General features: G+C 43.3%; 3 annotated features.

The window, feature by feature from the left end:
* Positions 16,280 to 16,499: a silencer, noted in NCBI's record as "silent region_16113". NCBI's record gives its function as "represses an Ori minimal core promoter by ATAC-STARR-seq in GM12878 lymphoblastoid cells {active_cell/tissue: GM12878}" and the evidence as "EXISTENCE:reporter gene assay evidence [ECO:0000049][PMID:35858748]".
* Positions 16,514 to 17,074: an enhancer, noted in NCBI's record as "VISTA enhancer hs262". NCBI's record gives its function as "enhancer in: forebrain[9/9]" and the evidence as "EXISTENCE:transgenic organism evidence [ECO:0001131][PMID:17130149]".
* Positions 16,610 to 16,659: an enhancer, noted in NCBI's record as "active region_22702". NCBI's record gives its function as "activates an Ori minimal core promoter by ATAC-STARR-seq in GM12878 lymphoblastoid cells {active_cell/tissue: GM12878}" and the evidence as "EXISTENCE:reporter gene assay evidence [ECO:0000049][PMID:35858748]".

The raw sequence follows: 18,074 nt of genomic DNA, 5'->3' as shown, positions 1-18,074 counted from the left end.
GCCTTCGGCATAAACAGGATTTGACTCTGGAGTTCGGCCAATCCCCTATGTGACAACCAAGTGAACTTTCCAATGGTGAGGGAGAAGAGGTCTAATTTCTTACCTTTCTTGGTACAGAAATTGTGATCCTGTGGTGACATCCAATCATAATTTTCTTTCCCCTTACCTGGGTACCAAAAAGAGACGTTTCTTCCCAATTTACTTATGGAGCCAATATATCAGAAGATCAATCAAGCAGGACTTCTAAATGAAGAAGCTTCAGATAAGGAATTTGTGAATACTGCCTGTCTTTGGGGGAGAAGTCCAAGGACCTTCACTGTACCTTGCCAAAGAACAAGAGATAAATTATCACCCTCTCTTAATTTCATCTGGTTCTCCTGAGAAGGAAAAATTGTCACAGCATCAGATGATCTTGGGCTAACTCGATAGGATTGTCCTAACAATAACAACAACAACAAAAAAATAACAAGAGCAAATGCCTATTTTCTCCTCAACATATTTGATTATATATTATTGAGACATGAATCTTCTATATACGTCCTTAATATTTGGAGACTTTGAATCATTTGACAAGAAATACTTCCCTCCCCACGAGATAAACTATCATATTATTACTCATGGAGTGAACCCTACACTTGGGAAGCTGAATTATATAGCTTGACTGCTTACATTTAAATCCCTTATTAGCTCTTAAAATTTCACCTTTTTGTTCTGTGTAAACATAGTCCAGGTTCCACTTCACTTTCCATATGCCCCAGTTTTCTCATCAATATGCTTCAGATAATAGTGTTGTAATTAATCAACTCAAACTTTTGATATAATCAGAATAATAGCAAATATTATCTATAATAGCAGTTCTCAGACATCGTTACATGTTAGCTCTCTTAGAGAGTTCAAAAATAAAAATCCAGATGCCTAGGCTGCATCCCAGTCCAACTAAATCAGAATTTCTGGGAGAAGGAACTCAAATATCAGTATTATTTCCTATGTGACTGAGCAATAAAAGTTTATTGTTATATGCCTCTGAGTTTTGGACTAGTTTGTTATGCAGCTTCATTGTGATTGTAGCTCTCTGATACACTCACTCATTCATTCTTTTATCTTCTCTGTGTTGCCATAAAGAAATACCTACAGCTGGGTAGTTTATAAGGAAAGAGGTTTAATTGGCTCATGGTTCTGCAGGCTGTACAAGAAGCATGTCACCAGCATCTGCTTCTGGTGAGGGCCTCATGGCAGAAGGTGAAGGGAGAGCCAGCATGTCACATGGTAAGAGAAAGAGCAAGAGGGAGAAAGGGGACGCCCAGATGTTTAAACTAGATCTCATGTGAACTAACTGAGAACTCACTCATCACCAAGGAGATGGCACTAAGCCATTCATGAGGGATCCATCACCATGATCCACTCACCTTCCACCAGGCCCCACCTCCAACATTGGAGATTACATTTCAACATGAGATTTGGAGGGGACAAATATCTAACCATATCACTGGTTGACCATCTACTGTGTCCCAGAGACTTTCTAGACTTTGGATAGACAGTGGAAAACAAAGATGGCCAAGGCCCTTGCCCTAATGCAGCTTAATTATTTGTGGTAGTGATGGACAAAAAATAAGTAAACAGATAGCTATATAATATCATTTCAAGTACATTTCAACTACCATTAAGAATTGTGAAAACAGAAAAAGGCAGAGCAAGATGACCAAATGGAAGCCTCCACTGATTATCCTCCCCACAGGAACACCAAATTGAACAACTATGCACACAAAAAAAGCACTTTCATCAGAACCAAAAATCAGGTGAGCAATCAGTACTTGGTTTTAACTTCATATCACTGAAAACAGCATTGAAGACGGTAGGAAAGACAGTCTTGAATGGCCAGCACCACCCCTGCCCCATCCCACAGCAGTGGCTGCATGACACTGAGCAAGAATTTGTGTGCGTTGAGGAGGGAAAGTGCAGTGATTGTGGGCCTGTGCATTGGAACTCAGTGCTGCTCTGCCATAGCAGAAAGCAACCCTGGGCAGAACTCAGCCAACACCCATGGAGGAGCATTTAAACTGGCCCTAGCCAGAGGTGAATTGCCCATTCCAGTTGTTGGAACCTGAGTTCTGGCAAGCCTCAGCAGAACAGGCTAAAGGGCTCTGGTTCCTACCTAAACTTGAAAAGCAGTCTAGGCCATAAGGACTGCAATTCCTGAGCAAGTCTTGATACTATGTAGAGCTTGGAGCCAGTGGACTTGGGGGACACATGACCTACTGAGATAACAAACGGGACAGCCAAGGAGTGCTTACATCTTCCCTCCCCCAACCCCAAGCAGTACAGCTCATGGCTCCAGGAGTGAATCCTTCCATCCGCTTGAGAAAAGGAGAGGGAAGAGTAAAGAGGACTTTGTCTTGCAACTTGGATGCCAGCTCTGCCACAGTAGGATACGGTACCTGGCAGAGTCCTGAGGCCCCCATTCCAGGCCCTCGTTCCCAGACCACATTTCTATATACATCCTGGGCCAGAAGGGAACCCCCTGCTTTGAGGGGAAAGATCCAGTCCTGGAAGCACTCACCACCTGCTGAATAAAGAGCCCTTGGGCTCTGAATAATCAGCAGTGATACCCAGGCAGTACTCACTGTGGACCCTAAGTTAGCTCAAATATGTGTTGGCTTCAGATGTAACCCAGCATATTCCTAGCTGGGGTGGCTATGAGGAGGGACTCCTGCTTGAGAAAATGAGAGGGAAGAGTAAAAAGGACTTTGTCTTGCACCTCAATTACCAGCTTGGCCGCAGTGGAGTAGAGGACCAAGGAAGCCCTTGAGGCTCCTTTTTCCAGGCCGAGGCTCTTGGATGGCATTTTTGGACCTGCCTTTGGCCAGAGGGGGACCCACTGCCTGGAAGGGTGAGCCCCAGGCCTGGCATCACTCACCACAAGCTGACTGACAAGCCCTTGAGCCTTGAATGATTATCAGTGGTAGCCAGACAGTACTCACCGTGGGCTTGGGGCAGTAGTGGCCATAAGGAGAGACTCCCCTGCTTGTGGAAAGAGGAGAGAATAGTATGAAGGACTTTGTCTTGTGGTTTGGGTGCCAGCTCAGGCACAGTAGAGTAGAGCACCAGGTAGATTCCTAAGATTTCTGACTTGAGGCCCTGGCTCCTGGATGGCATCTCTGGACTCACACAGGACCAGGGGAAACTCACTGCCCTGAAAAAAAGAACACAAGCTTGGATGGATTTGCCACCTGTTGATTGTACAGCCCTAGGCCTTAAGTGAACATAGGTGGTAGCCAGACAGTGATTACCATGGGCCTTGGGCAAGACCCAGTGCTGTGTTGGCTTCAGGTCTGACCCAGCACTGTCCTGTGGTGGTGGCCACAAGGGTGCTTTTGTTACCCCTCCCCCAGCTCCAGGCAGCTCAGAACAGAGAGAGACTCCATTTGTTTAGGAGAATGTAAGAGAAGAGAACAGGAGTCTCTGCCTGGTAATCCAGAGAATTCTTCTGGATCTTATCCAAGATCTCCAGGGCAGTACCTCTATGAATCTGTAAGAACCACAGCAATAAATACATAACTCTTCAATGCCCAGACACCAACAAACATCCACAAGCATCAAGTCCCTTCAGGAAAACATGATCTCACCAAACAAACTAAATAAGGCATCAGGGACTAATCCCAGAGAGACAGAGATATCTGACCTTTCAGACAGAGAATTCAAAAATCACCGTTTTGAGAAACTCAATGAAATTCAAGATAACACAGAGAAAGAATTCAGAATCCCATTAGATAAATGTAACAAACAGAATTAAATAATTTTTAAAAATCAAGCAGAAATTCTGGAGTTGAAAAACACAACTGACATCCTGAAGAATGCATGAGTCCCTTAGCAGCAAAATTGGACAAGCAGAAGAGAATTAGTGACCTTGAAGACAAGCTATTTGAAAATACACAGTCAGAGGAGACAAAAGAAAAAAGCATAAAAAGAATGATGTATGCCTACGAGAACTATAAAATAGCCTCCAAAGGGCTAATCTAAGTTACTGGCCTTAAAGAGGAGATGGGATGGAGGATAGAAAATTTATTCAAAGGAATAATAAACAGAGAGATCCCCAAACCTAAAAAAAGATATCAATATTCAAGTACAAGAAAGATATAGAACACCAAATAGATTTAACCCAAATAATACTACCTCAAAGGTCAAGGATAAAGAAAGGACCCTACTCCCAAAGGTCAAGGATGAAGAAAGGACCCTAAAAGCAGCAAGATAAAAGAAACAAATAACATACAATGGGGTACCAATATGCTTGGCAGCAGACTTCTCAGTGGGAAACTTGTAAGCCAAGAGAGAGTGGTATGATGTATTTAAAGTGCTGAAGGAAAAACTTTTATTCTACAATAATATATCCATTGAAAATATCCTTCAAACGTGAAGGAGAAATGAAGACCTTCCCAGACAAACAAAAGCTGAGGGATTTCATTAACAACAGACCTGCCCTACAAGAAATGCTATAGGGAGTTCTTCAATCTGAAAGAAAAAGATGTTAATAAGCAGTAAGAAATCATCTGAAGGTACAAAACTCACTGGTGACAGTAGGTACATAAAAAAACAAAGAATATAATAACACTGTAATTGTGGTGTGTAAACTACTCATATCTTGAGTAGAAAGACTAAAAGATGAACCAATCAAAAATAATAGCTACAACAACTTTTCAAGACATAGACAGTACAATAAGATATAAATAGAAACAACAAGTTAAAAAGCAAGAAATTAAGTTAAAGTGTAGAGTTTTTTTAGTTTCCTCTTTACTTGTGTGTGTAATCAGTGCTAAGTTGTCATCAGTTTAAAATAATGGGTTACAAGATATTATATGCAAGTTGCATGGTAATCTCAAATCAAAAAACATACAACAAATACACACAAAACATACGCACACACACACACACACACAAGATTTTAAAACATACCACCAGAAAAAGTCATCTTCACTAAAAGAAAGACAGGAAGGAAGGAAAGAAGGAAGAAAAGATCACAAAACAACTAGAAAACAAATAACAAAATGGCAAGTATAAGACCTTACTTATCAAAAATAATATTGAATGTAAATGAACTAACTTCTCCAATCAAAAGGCATAGAGTGACTGAATGGTTGAGAAAACAAGACCCAATAGTCAGTTGCCTACAAGAAACACACTTCACCTATAAAGACACACATAGACTGAAAATAAAGGGATGCAAAAAGATATTCCATGCAAATGGAAGCCACAAAAGAACAGAAGTAGCTATACATATATCAGATCAAATGGATTTCAAGATAAAAACTATAAAAAGAGACAATGAAGGTAATTATATGACAAAGAGGTCAATTCAGCAGGAGGATATAACAATTGTAAATATATATGCATTCAACACAGGAGAACCCAGATAAACAAAGTAAATATTAGAGCTAAAGAAAGAGATAGACCCCAATACAGTAATAGCTGAAGATTTCAACACCCCACTTTCAGCATTGAACAGATTGTCCAGACAGAAAATCAGCAAAGAAACATCAGACTTAACTTACACTATAGACCAAATGGACCTAAATCTATTTACAGAAAATTTAACCCAATGGCTGCAGAATACACATTCTTCTCTCCTCAGCACATGAATCATTCTCAAGGATAGACCATACGTTAGGCCACAAAACAAGTCTTAAAACATTCAAAAAAATTGAAGTTATATCAAATATCTTCTCTGACCACAATGGAAAAAACTAAAAATCCTTAACAAGAGGAATTTTGGAGATTATACAAACACATAGAAATTAAATAATATACTCCTTAATGACCAGTAGATCAATAAAGAAATTAAGAGGAAAATTTTAAAATTTCTTAAAACCTATGGGATAAAGTGAAAGCAGTACTAAGAGGAAAGTTTATAGCTATAAGCACCTTCATCAAAAAAGTAGAAAGTCTCCAAATAAACAATGTAACAATGCATTTAAAGAACTAGAAAAGCAAGAGCAAAGCAAACCAAAAATTAGTAGAAGAAAAGAAATAATAAAAATCGGAGCAGAAATAAATGAAATTGAAATGAAGAAAACAACACAAAAGATCAAATGAAACAAAGTGTTGGTTTTTTAAAAAGTTAAACAAAATCAACAAACTTTTAGTCAGACTAATTAAGGAAAAAAGAGAGAAGACCTAAATAAATAAAATCAGAGATGAAAAAGGAGACATTACAACTGATACTGCAGAAATTCAAAGGATCACTAGAGGCTACTATGAGCAACTATCTGCTAATACATTGAAAAATGTAGAAGAACTGAATAAATTCTTAGTCACCTACAACCTACCAAGATTGAAGCATGAAGAAATCCAAAATCTGTACAGACCAAAAACAAGTATCCAGATCAAAGCCATGATAAAAAGTCTCCTAGCAAAGGAAAGTCTGGGATCTGATGGCTTCACTGCTGAATTTTACCAAACATTGAAAGAAGTGGTAAATACCAATCCTACTCAAACTAATGTGAAAAATAGATGAGGGAATACTTACAAACATATACTACGAGGTCGGTATTGCCTTGATACCAAAACCAGACAAAGATACATCCAAAAAAGAAAACTCTAGGCTAATATCCCTGATGAACATTGATGCAAAAATCCTCAGTAAAATACTAGCAAACCAAATTCAACAACACATTAAAAAGATCACTCACCAGGAGTGGTGGCTCATGCCTGTAATCCCAGCACTCTGAGAGGCCAAGGCAGGCAGATCACTTGAGGCCAGGAGTTTGAAACCAGCCTGGCCAACATGGTGAAACCCTGTTTCTACTAAAAATAAAAATAAAAAATTGGCTGGGCGTGGTGGTGTGCACCTGGATTCCCAGCTACTCAGGAGGCTGAGGCAGGAGAATTGCTTAAACCCAGGAGGCAGAGGTTGCAGTGAGCTGAGATTGCACCACTGCACTCCAGCCTGGATTACAGAGTGAGACTCTGTCTCAAAATAAATACATTAAATAAATTAGTAAATAAATAGAAAAGATCATTCATCATGACCAAGTGGGATTTATCCTAGGGATGCAAGGATGGTTCAACATATGCAAATCAATCAGTGGGGTATATCATGTCAACATTATGAAGAACCTCCAAACTGTTCCCCACACTAATTTACATTCCCACCAACATACAAGGATTCCCATTTCTCCATATCCTAGCCAGCATTTGTTATTGCCTGTCTTTTGGATAAAAGCCATTTTAACTAGAGTGAGATGATACCTCATTATAGTTTTGATTTGCATCTCTATGATGATCAGTAATGTCAAGCAGCTTTTCATATGCCTGTTTGCCATTTGTATGTCTTCTTTTGAGAAATGTCTATTCGAATATTTTGCCCATTTTTTGATCAGATTAGACTTTTCCCTATAGAGTTGTTTGAGCTCCATATATTCTGCTTATTAATTCCTTGTCAGATGGATAGTTTCCAAATGTTTTCTCCCATTCTGTGGGTTGTCCCCTGCCTTTGTTGATTGTATCCTTTGCTGTGCAGAAACTTTTTAACTTGAAGTGATCTCATTTGTCCATTTTTGGTGGAGGGTTTGCCCAGGGGAGTGACATAATTGGACTTCCATTCCAACTGCTGTGCTGGGGGTAGCATGGAGAGGTGCAAGGACAGAGGTGGGGACAAGAGGAGGAGGCTATTCAGCTGTTGCAGTAATCCAGGTACCCTATATAGTGGCTTGAACCTGTGACCGTGAAGGTGGGGAGATCTTGGGATATATTTTGAAAATAAAGCCAAGAAGGTTTGCCATTGAATTGTATGTCTGGGTGGTAACAAGTGATGATTTGAGGGTGACTTTAATCCTTTTGATTGGAGCAGCTGGGTGGACACTTGAGTACCTATTGTATTCTGGGCAGAAAACAGATATGGTCCTTCCCTCAGAGAAATCATTTTGAAATGGGAGAGACAATAAGCAAGCAGACACTTAACTCAATAATAACCTTGGGAGAGGGCTATGGGGGTGATAGTGGGGTCCTGGGATAGAAGGGAACCCCAGAGAGGAAAGGGCCTGGTGGGAGAAAGATGAGAAAGGCCTTGCCTGGAAGGCGAGATTTCAACTGAGGTCTGAAAGCCAAGAAGAAGCCTGCTATGTGAAGAATAGGGGAAGAGCACTGAGTGGAAAGGGAAAATCATGTGTAAGGGCCTTGAATCATAGGAAAAATTATTTTATGAATTTTCAGGAGGCTAAGGTGGCTGGTGTGTGTCCTACCAATCAGAAGTGGAGGTAGAGAGATAAACAGGGGTCAGGTAATGCCAGTGCTTGTGAGCTTAGACAGTAGTATTTGTGTGTCTGTGTGTGTGTATGTGTGTGTGCATGTGCACACACATGTTTATTTTCTAACAGCAATAAGGTTTAAAGTTTTATGATGCTATGTCACCTGGCCTTGAAATTCTGGAAGCAAAGAGGGCAGGCATAGTATTCTGCCAAGATGTGGCCTGAACAGATTTGATGCTGCCTACTTCTTTATTCCACCACTACCCCCTTTTTCTTTTTCTCAAGTTGAGTCCTCAATCTTTTCCTGAGATGAACACACTTCCCTTTCTCCAGATCTTGTGGCTCCACAGAAAGACAGAGGACTTGGACTTCTTTGACAGTTCCGATCTACAAGTGTTGGTGGGACGCCCTTTCCTAGCCGCTTATCCCTGTTTCTTTCTCACTTGAAGGTCTGCCCACTTTGCACCATCCCCTCATGAAAGGAGGTGATATTTGATGGCTGTGGATAGATAAGAATGAATGACAACAAAAATATTATGGTGTGGTAACCTGGAAGTGGCTTGAGAGCCTGTGTGCAGTCGCTATGAGGGACAGCCATTCCTCCCTTTACCACAGCCATACACCAAGTTTCGGAAGGGGGAAAAAGAACATCTTAATTGTGAGCTGATGAGCTGATCAATATTCTCAATTTATCTCTTCAGCTCTAGGCTCCAAATTGAAAACGGGACTGTGAGAATCTCAAAGGGCTGCAGCTGTGGCACATCCCTGCCCTGCAAGGAGCAGTTGCTTCATGCCAAGTAGCACCTCCGAGGTTTCCGGGCACCTGCCCAGGATAGTAGGGTGCTCATGCTGCTTGGCCACTTACAGACTTGTGGGAGCTGCTTGTAGGACCATTGGCATCAGGACTGGTTGTAACTTTATGCTCTGTGGACCGCCCCATACGTCTATTCTGGGTTAGAACAGGGCTCCAGGGGCCAATCCTTTTGTTTCCATAATAACTGTAGCCAAATACAACTTCTCAGCAAGGGTATGGGAAATGTGTCCATGAATGGGTGGGAATGGGAAGGGTTAATAAGAAACATAGCAGCAGCTATCATTGACACAGCACTGTAAGTGCTCCACAGGAAGATTCACCTCAACCTCAGGAGGCAGGTACTATGATTATCCCCATTTTACAGATCATTTAGGGAAGCTCTGCTAGTAGGGATTCTTCTAATAAGTGTCACTGCGCTTAGTGTTTGATAGAAATTTCATACTAATCCTGGCAGTTTCTATGACACTAATCCGGTTAATCCAGGAGGGTGAAAACAGTTCTGGGGGTTGGGAGACCCAAGCCCCACTTTCGATTTCTATTAGTTGTCGTGCCACCTTGGTCCCCTGGGACCTCTGTGTCTCATCTTTAAAGATGCAAATTTTAGGCAATAATTCCCAAGGACTCTTCTGGCATGGATGGTATATGACCCTTCACTTCAGCATCCTCTATTTTATGTGCATCAAATTTCAGCCCAGTCTCCTGTCCAAAAATGGAGTCCCTCACCACCAATGACTAACAAGGCAGTCTCTGCATTGGGCTCACTTTCCAGGGCTTAGCCTTGAGCACAGAGCTGGAGAGGGAGAGCCTACATTCATTTGCAAAAGTCACACTGGGCTCTTTACCAACAGGGCCGTTTTAACATTGCATCGTCAGGCAGTTGTCCACTCTCATTCTGGACTGCTCTACACACATGGAATTGGCTAGGTTGACCCCATCCTGAATGGGTAGCATAAATTTCAATAATAATAATAAACTCTTCTTCATAATTCTGATTGCTCACTAAGATTAGTTTGAATTGGGAAATCTGATTCCCAACTGCTACTGAACAACTGGATCATTCATTCATTCTTCCTTTTATTCATTCAACAAAATTTTTTTGCACATTATTATGCATCAGAAACTGTACAAGGCTCTAGGGGTACTAAGATATGAAGACCAAGGTTCAGCCATTACAGGGCTTGCATTCTGCTCAGGGAAAGAGGTAATAAACAAATAAGCACATAGCACACTTTTTCAGATAGTGATGAGTGCTGTGCTGAAAAAATAAAGCAAGATAAAGGATGACGAATTATGGATCTACTTGACTCTTTTGGGGGACTCTTTTAAGTTTGGAGAGGAGATGTCAGGAAGGGCATCTCTACAGAGATAAAATTTTACAGAGACCTGAATAAAGAGAGAGCTGTAATCATGTGAAAGTCCAGAGATGTATCCTTCAGGAAGAAGGAACAAAGCAGAAGGTACCATGGCCAGAGGTTGGAATGAGAATGGCAAGTCCGAGAAAAAACAAAAGGCTAGTGTGTGTGCATACTGGTAGCAGCCTTCCATCTGAGCAGGGAGGGCCTTCCTTCATAATCTGACTTGGCTGCACGTTGGCAATTAGAAGAGTAGGATGCAGAAGAGGAATCTCACATGCTGTAACTTTTAAAGATAACAACATATGTGGCAAGACAGCCCAAGCCTACCCTAACATATGCAGGACCTGGAGCAAGAGTACAAACAGAGGCCCACATACTATATGTCCAAATATTTAAAAACTATAAATTAAGCTAACAAACTGTTCAGTGAAATATGTCCTGTCTTCTTACCTTAACAACTATATTTTCATAACAACCTAGAAGTTCAAGTTCAAATTTATAATGTTTGGAGTCCCAGCCCCTAGCTCCAGGTTTGCACCTTCTCTTCCTGCCCACCAGCTGCATCCAGGGCAGCAAGAGGCCTCTCACATGCACAAGTGGTCAGCCCAGCCCAGTTGTCCAAGCTCCCCCCACATCTCATCACAAGCAGCTGCCTCTTGGGCCTGGGAGTGTGCACATGACAGATGGGCAGATGTGGGAGAGACCCACAGAAGTTCTGGAAGCAGGAGCAGGACTGTTGGGCAAGGAATTCTGGGGCCCCAGGTAGTCTACAGGGGGAAGAGCAGGCTCTTGACGGGCTGCAGCTGGAGATGGTCCAAATGGGGCTGTTTAAAGCCAAGGTCCAGGGCAGGCAGCTCCTTCTCATCCTGTATAAGGACAATACCTCACCTGAACTACTACTGCAGGTTGTTCCTGGAAGGTGAATATTAAAGCAATCATCCTCCATGCAGAGACAAGCTAAGACCCAGGGAATGAAGGCTGAGGTCAAGGTGCTGGAGAAGTTGAGCTTAACCTTCCAGGCTAGACAAAGGAAGAGCTGATAGAGATCTTGGACTTTGTAAGCTGGGAAGGTTACACGTTTCTTGTATTTTCTATGTTTATGCTCTTCTTTGTCTTCTCTACATCTATCTATATTAAACTCTTTGAAAACTCCATGCAGTCTTGGCTAAGGGAAGCCCAGGGAAAGGTTTTGATCTTTACTTCAGCCAAAATATTTAAGGGGGCAGCAGCACCTGGGTGCCAGCAGGAAGTCACGTGAAAGAATCCAAAGAAGGAGGTGAGGCCTCTGATTCAGGGGTGTCTGCCAACCCTTGTACCTCCACACACACACTCCTGAAAACTTTCTTTCAAGCACTAACTTTGGAAGTTCTGAGTGAGAAAAAGAACCCCTTAGTCCACAAAGACTGCTAGAGACTCTAGTGTCTGTTCTCTCTTTCTGTCTCTCACTAATATAACTCTCTGTTCTCACATGGAATACGAATATCTAGTGTAAAAATACGATTTCCCAACCTTCCCTGTAGCTGGGTGTGGTCATTTGACCAAGTTCTTGACAATGGGATTGAGAAGTGATGTGTGCATCTTTAGGGTTGTGCTTTCAAAGGAAGAAGGATACTCTTGTCTTTCTCCTTTCTCTTCCTGCTGGCTAGAATATGACATGGTGGTGAGCCATCCTGGATAACATGGACAAGGGGGACATCCTAGCAGATAGGAACAAGATAGAAGAGGCGGGGTCGCTGACACCATAGACCAACCATGACAGTCCTGGAGTTCTTGCCTTTAGACTATTAAGTGAGAGAGAAACTTCTATCTTGTTTAAGCCACTGTTGGTTTTTGTTACTGCTGCTGTTGTTTCTTTTATAGCCACTGAACTCTCATCCCAACAAATATAGTAATTTTACCACCCCTTGGAGGGAATGCATTCCTCACGTTTAATTTCCCATGTATAAAGGACTTTTTAAATGCTTTAAACGAAGGTTGTAGGTTGTCTCCTAATCTATATTTACACTCTCGTCACCATACTGAATTGTATAGATTTTTGTTGCCATCCTGAATTGTATAGATTTTGATCATGTCACACCACAGCACATCTTCCTATGTTGAAATCCTTTGAGTTTTAGCTTGACCTCATAGAGAACAACTCTGCCTTTCCTAAAATTCAATGATTTCAATTTTATTATCTTCTCTCAGTTAAATGGTACCATGGGCTATTTAGTCTTTGGGCTGGGAACCTGGCCCAGAACCTACAAATGTTGATTGAATTTAATTAACTTGAATTGAACTTCAAAAAGCATTTTCTCTTCAGAGAGATAGCATGAACTAAGCATAAACTAAGTCCAGGGTTTCATTCTATCCCAAGTAGACAACATGAAGGCATGGAGGGAAGTAGGGCTTAAAGCGAATTCCTCTACAGGAACATGTTTCCCCTTATGGCCCCAGCTCACCTCAATTTCCTGACCACTCCCTATGCACACTTCATGTCTCAGCTTAGACGTCACCTCCCAGACCCCTAGACTAGGTTCATTTCCTCTGAGTTATTATCTCAAAGCCTCTGGGATTTGCTTTTTATTACATACATCATACTTGTGTTTACTTCTCTGCTGGCTATTTTTGTCAATTATAAAAGCAAGACTATACCCATTGTATCCACAGGCCCTAGCTCAGTGCCTTGCTCACAGCCAGTGCTCAATAACAATTTAGAGCCAGGTGTGGTGGTGAGCAACTGCAATCCTGGCTACTCAGGACACTGAGGTGGAAGGATCCCACGTACTCAGGAGCTCAAGGCTAGCCTGGGCAACATAGCGAGACCCCTGTCTCTAAAAAAAAAAACAGTCAATGGATGAATAGATAATCAATGAGTGGCATTATCCTCGGCTCTTCTTTCTCATACCCCACATCTAGAAGCACATCCTAGGCTTCCTAGGAAATACTTCTAGATTCCAACCACTTATCACCTCCTCCACTGCTCTCATTCTGGTCCAAGCAGCCATCATTTTCCCCTTGGATTATTACATTAGGCTACTACCTGGCCCCTCTGCCTCCACTTTCCACCTTCCATCCCTCCTCTGGCAAACACACACCATTTTTTTTTTCAGTACAAGTATTAGAGAAGACTGAAGATGGGGTCAAGTCATAAATTAGGGCCATATTGAAGATAGCATTTTTGTCCCCTCCCAGAGCAGGAAAACCATGGAGCCTTCTCTCTCATGTTTTAACCAGCTCAGGTAAAGACTATAGCACTCAATTTCTATTTAGGTAGGTATGGCCATGTGACTAAACTCTGTTCCATGCATTGTGAGAGGAAGTAATAGAAGCATTTTTGAGCCATGCCCTTAAAAGAAAGGAATGAGCCTTCCTCTTCATCTCCGTTTCCAGCTACCCAACATGCAGAGGTGATGGCAGGAGCTGGAGCAGCCATCTTAGGCTGCAAGATGGAAGAATATGTTAAGGAAGACAGAGAACAATAAAGAAGGCTGGGCTGGGCATGGTGGCCAAGCCTGTTTTCCAAGCTACTGGAGAGACTGAGGCAGGAGGATCATTTCAGCCCAAGGCTGCAGTACACTATGATCATGCCTATGAATAGCCACTGTCTCTCTCTCTCTCTCTCTCTCTCACACACACACACACACACACACACACACACGGAAGAAGAAGGCTAGGTTCCCAGTCTTTTAGAGCTTCCTGCCATATTGGTCTTGGCATGTTTTTCATGGGCTGTTATGTGAGAGATAAATAAAATCCTATATGTTCTAAGCCACTCTAATTTGGGGTCTCTGTTACAGCAGCCTGTGTATCCTAACTAATACATATTCCCTTCCCTACCACAGCTGCTTCCTAGAGTGTGAAAAAAAATTCTGCTGGGAAAATATATGTAAAAGTCCATCTCCTTTTTAATGGGTGACTTGGAGACCTCTCAAAAATTAAGGGGGGGTAGAGTAAATCCTTGTTCTAAAGCAGTTGGGAAAGAGCTATCTCCTACACAGAAAAGGCTCTTTGGTTCCATATGTCAGCAACTTAGGAAAGTGCAGGAGGGTGGAGAAGGCAGCCCTGTTACTGGCTTTCAGGCCCTAATGTGTGAAATGCCTTTGGGGAGTGAATGAAAGAATTAGCTTAAGGTCTGGATTTGGGGGCTTTAGTAGGCTTAAGACAGACTTTAATCACCCTTCACTCTCTGTGGTCCCAGCGTGTAAATTTTAATCACATTCACTTGCACCTCCACCCAGGGTTAGGTCTGTTTATTTATGACCCACCATTGTATGAGGCTGATCTCTCCAGCCAGAGTGCCGACTGCCCAGGGCCTGCCTCTAGGAGAAAGAGCTGCCCACCAACAAACCAGGTTTCCTGACAATTCTCTGCAACATGAAAACATGTAATATAGGTTTGGATTAATATCAACCTATATTTTGGTCAGATGGAAGATATGAAATTGTTATAAATTTGTTAGACTGCATGCATCTTCTAGCCAGTTGTTTTCTTGGAACTTACTGGTTTGACAATTTCTTTTTGATTCTTCACCCAGCTGTTCCCTACATTCAGACTTATTGGTAGAACTCCTCTAGAGATTTGCATTTTTTCTCTGAAGATGATAATCATAAATTTTCACCCAAATATCACTCTTTTATAACCTGGGGCCCATAGGCAGCTCAAGAGGGGTTTTGAACCCCCTAAAGTTTTTGGTAAATAAATGCATTTTAATGGGAGGTGGTCCATAGCTTTCACACCCCCCAAAAACATTTCTTAAAAATATGCAAGAGTTTCCATCAGCACTGGTGAGGCTGATTAGGGAACCAGTATTTGGATCACAGTAACCCCCAAATCCTTCTGTCTCAAGTCTCCCACCACCACTAGGCAGATATGGAAAAGTCACTTATCTAGGCAATGTGCCTCTCCTTGCAGTCCTTTTACAAAAATGGGAACATTCCGTGAAGGATATTACATTAACTCTTAACACCTAAGAAAGTTAATTCAAATTACTTTCTTCCTTGAGATCTCAGGTTTCTGGGTGAGAAGAAAATACAGACTGAGAAGGTAAGAGAGGGTGAGAGCCCACCAAAACAAACTGAGCTTCTTCCTGGGTTATCTTTGCCTCCTACAGGTACAAATCCTGATGGCCACAGTCTACTGTAGTGGAAAAATTCAATGCAGGCCATTGTGAGCTCTACTAAGCCAAGCATCTGTCTCTCTGTTCATCTCTCACCCCCTCAGTGCCCAACATATAGTAGATGCTCAGCAAATGTTGGTTGGATGAATAAAGGAAAGTGTGTCAGCTGCCTCATTGGTCACCTTGTGTAAATAACGTAAATTTCCTTGTCCCATTAAGAATGGGTCTAAATGATGAAACTGAGCCAAGGAGAGGGCTAACAACCTAATTAGAAATAAATACTGAGGCATCACCACCTCTGGACATTGGGAGCATGCACATGTATACACTGTGATGCAGAGAAGAAATTCATAGGTCGTCCTTGGCCTAATAAACCAGAAAGATCAGAGGTACCCGTTTAAGACCCTTTGGAATAATTTATTTTAGACTTAAAAAAAAGACATGGTAAAAACAGAGTTGTTGCCTTTTCAGTACTTTAATAAAATGTGGAAAGAGACTTGGAGAGAATGAGAACCCCCGAGGCCCTTCCACGCCAGGACTCCCAGACGCGGTGTCCGCGCGAGCTGACCCGGGGTTCTGGGGTGCCGCGGTGGCACCCCTGCCTCTGAGCACCTGTTTTTGTGACACCCTTTTCCCGATGGAGCTCACATCTACCCGGGAGGACTTCCACCTGTTCCAGAAGTTTCCTGGACTGACCCTCGGCACCCGCCCCAGGCAAGGGCCCCTCCCTCGGGCCGGCTTCTCCAGTGTTCGGGGGCCTGGCAGTTGCTTGTGCCAACCCGGCCGCCCAGCCGAGGCGGAGCGGGCCGGGCTGGCGGGGCCCCCTAGCCGCTGCGGCGGCTTGTGTCCCCCGCCCGGCCCGACGGCGCGGGAGACGCCGGGAGGAGGCCGCGCTGCGGGCGCTGCGCCCCCTGGGGGCCGGGCGGGGCGGGCCCGAGTCCCCTCTGGGACCGCGGCACCTCCGGACCGCTGGAAGGCGACGCGGCGGCCACTTCGGGCGGACGGGCCCGGCCTGCAGAGGAGTTGGGCTATTTTGTAACTGCACCATCCACCCAAGCCTCATTACCACCTCTTAATGAGACCCCTTTACTCCGTGACGTGCAACCGCTCCATCTCATTAAGGAAATCGCTCTTCAATGCTGATTATTTTATTTGCAGCCATAATTATATTTCTTTCGGCTAAATCACGGTTTAATCGAGCCCACATGGAGGGCAGCAGCACTAATTACGGCGGGGGATGCGGCGACGGCGGCGGCGGCGCGGGCCGGCTGGGGGGTGCGGTAGGGGGTGCCCGGGCGGCGGGCGCGGCCGAGGGGCCCCCGGGCGGGGAGGGGCGCGGGCGGGGGGCGGGGGCCCGGGCTCAAACACAACAACTTATTACTTCTAATTCCCCAACTGTCACCAAATCACCTGCACGAAACAAGAATCTAATTTGTTAAGCTGGCATGTCTGCAGATGGAAGATCGATCTTCTCTGTAGATTTCTCTAATTGAGTGAATATAGACGCCCGGAATTAGCCGCACTCGGGTTGCGGGGAGGGGACGAGGGTCTGGGAAGCGGGGGAGAAAAAAAAGGGGGAGGAAGGGAGAAGACAGAAGAGAGGGAGGGAAGGAGAAAAAGGGGAGAGAGAAAGGGAAAGGAGCGAAAAGGGGAAAGAGAGACGGATGGGAGGACCGATGGAAAAGAGAATGAGAGGAAGGAGTGGAGGACGGAAAGGGAGAAAAAGAGAAAGGAGGAAGGAGGAAAAGGAGCAAACAGAGAAAAGGAAGAGAGCATAAAGAGAAGGGGGAAAGAGAGAGAAAGGGAAGAGGGAAAGGGAAGAGAAAGGGTAGGAGATGCAAGGAGGAAAAGATAGGGAGATGAAATCCTATTTGAGAAAGGCTCTTCACCCATAGATGCAACTCCCTCCTCCACCCCACCCCCCGAAGCGTAGAGTCGCTGGAGCGGCCGAGTCCCGGCGTCTGTTGCAAACCTGGCACTAATTGCGCCCGAAAAGAAAAGGATTGGGACGTAGGAGCCGGGCGGGGAGCGAGCGGGGAGTGGGCGAGCGCAGGCGGCTCGAAGAAATGGCTTACAGAATTACATTTGTTTTTCTTGTGATTTTATTAAAAGTCACTCCTCATCTCCAGAATGCGTGAAAATATCTACTTTCCACTCAGATACACCGCATTAACTTGTTGGAGGCGAATTTGTTTGTTTGTCTATTTTATTTATTTGCTAGATAAGATTGATGCAGTCTTATTAGCGCTATATCTAGTTATAGAAAGAGATAAGGATGAGATGTTTTTCTTTTTATTCCAATTACTAGCCTTGTCACCTAACTGAATAACTGATATATGATTATTTATCCTGAGTAAATAGAAATCAGAAAAGCAACGAACTTAACACATGCAAACAAAATCTCCATGTCACTTATTATATTCCGTGTGGCTAATTGGGGCCATTAAAATTACGGGGCGAAAGGCAAAAAAAAAAAAAAAAAAAAAAAAGAGAAGCAAGATACGCAGTCAGGGGGCGGATACTAATCCGTCATTGTTTTGTGTCGAGCTTTCTGTGTGGAGGGCCGTGAG

This window comes from Homo sapiens, chromosome 5 (genome assembly GCF_000001405.40).
Source record: "Homo sapiens chromosome 5, GRCh38.p14 Primary Assembly".
In the NCBI taxonomy this organism is placed as follows: domain Eukaryota; kingdom Metazoa; phylum Chordata; class Mammalia; order Primates; family Hominidae; genus Homo; species Homo sapiens.
The sequence above is the reverse complement of the archived record's forward strand: the minus strand, read 5'-3'. Positions and strand labels throughout refer to the sequence as shown.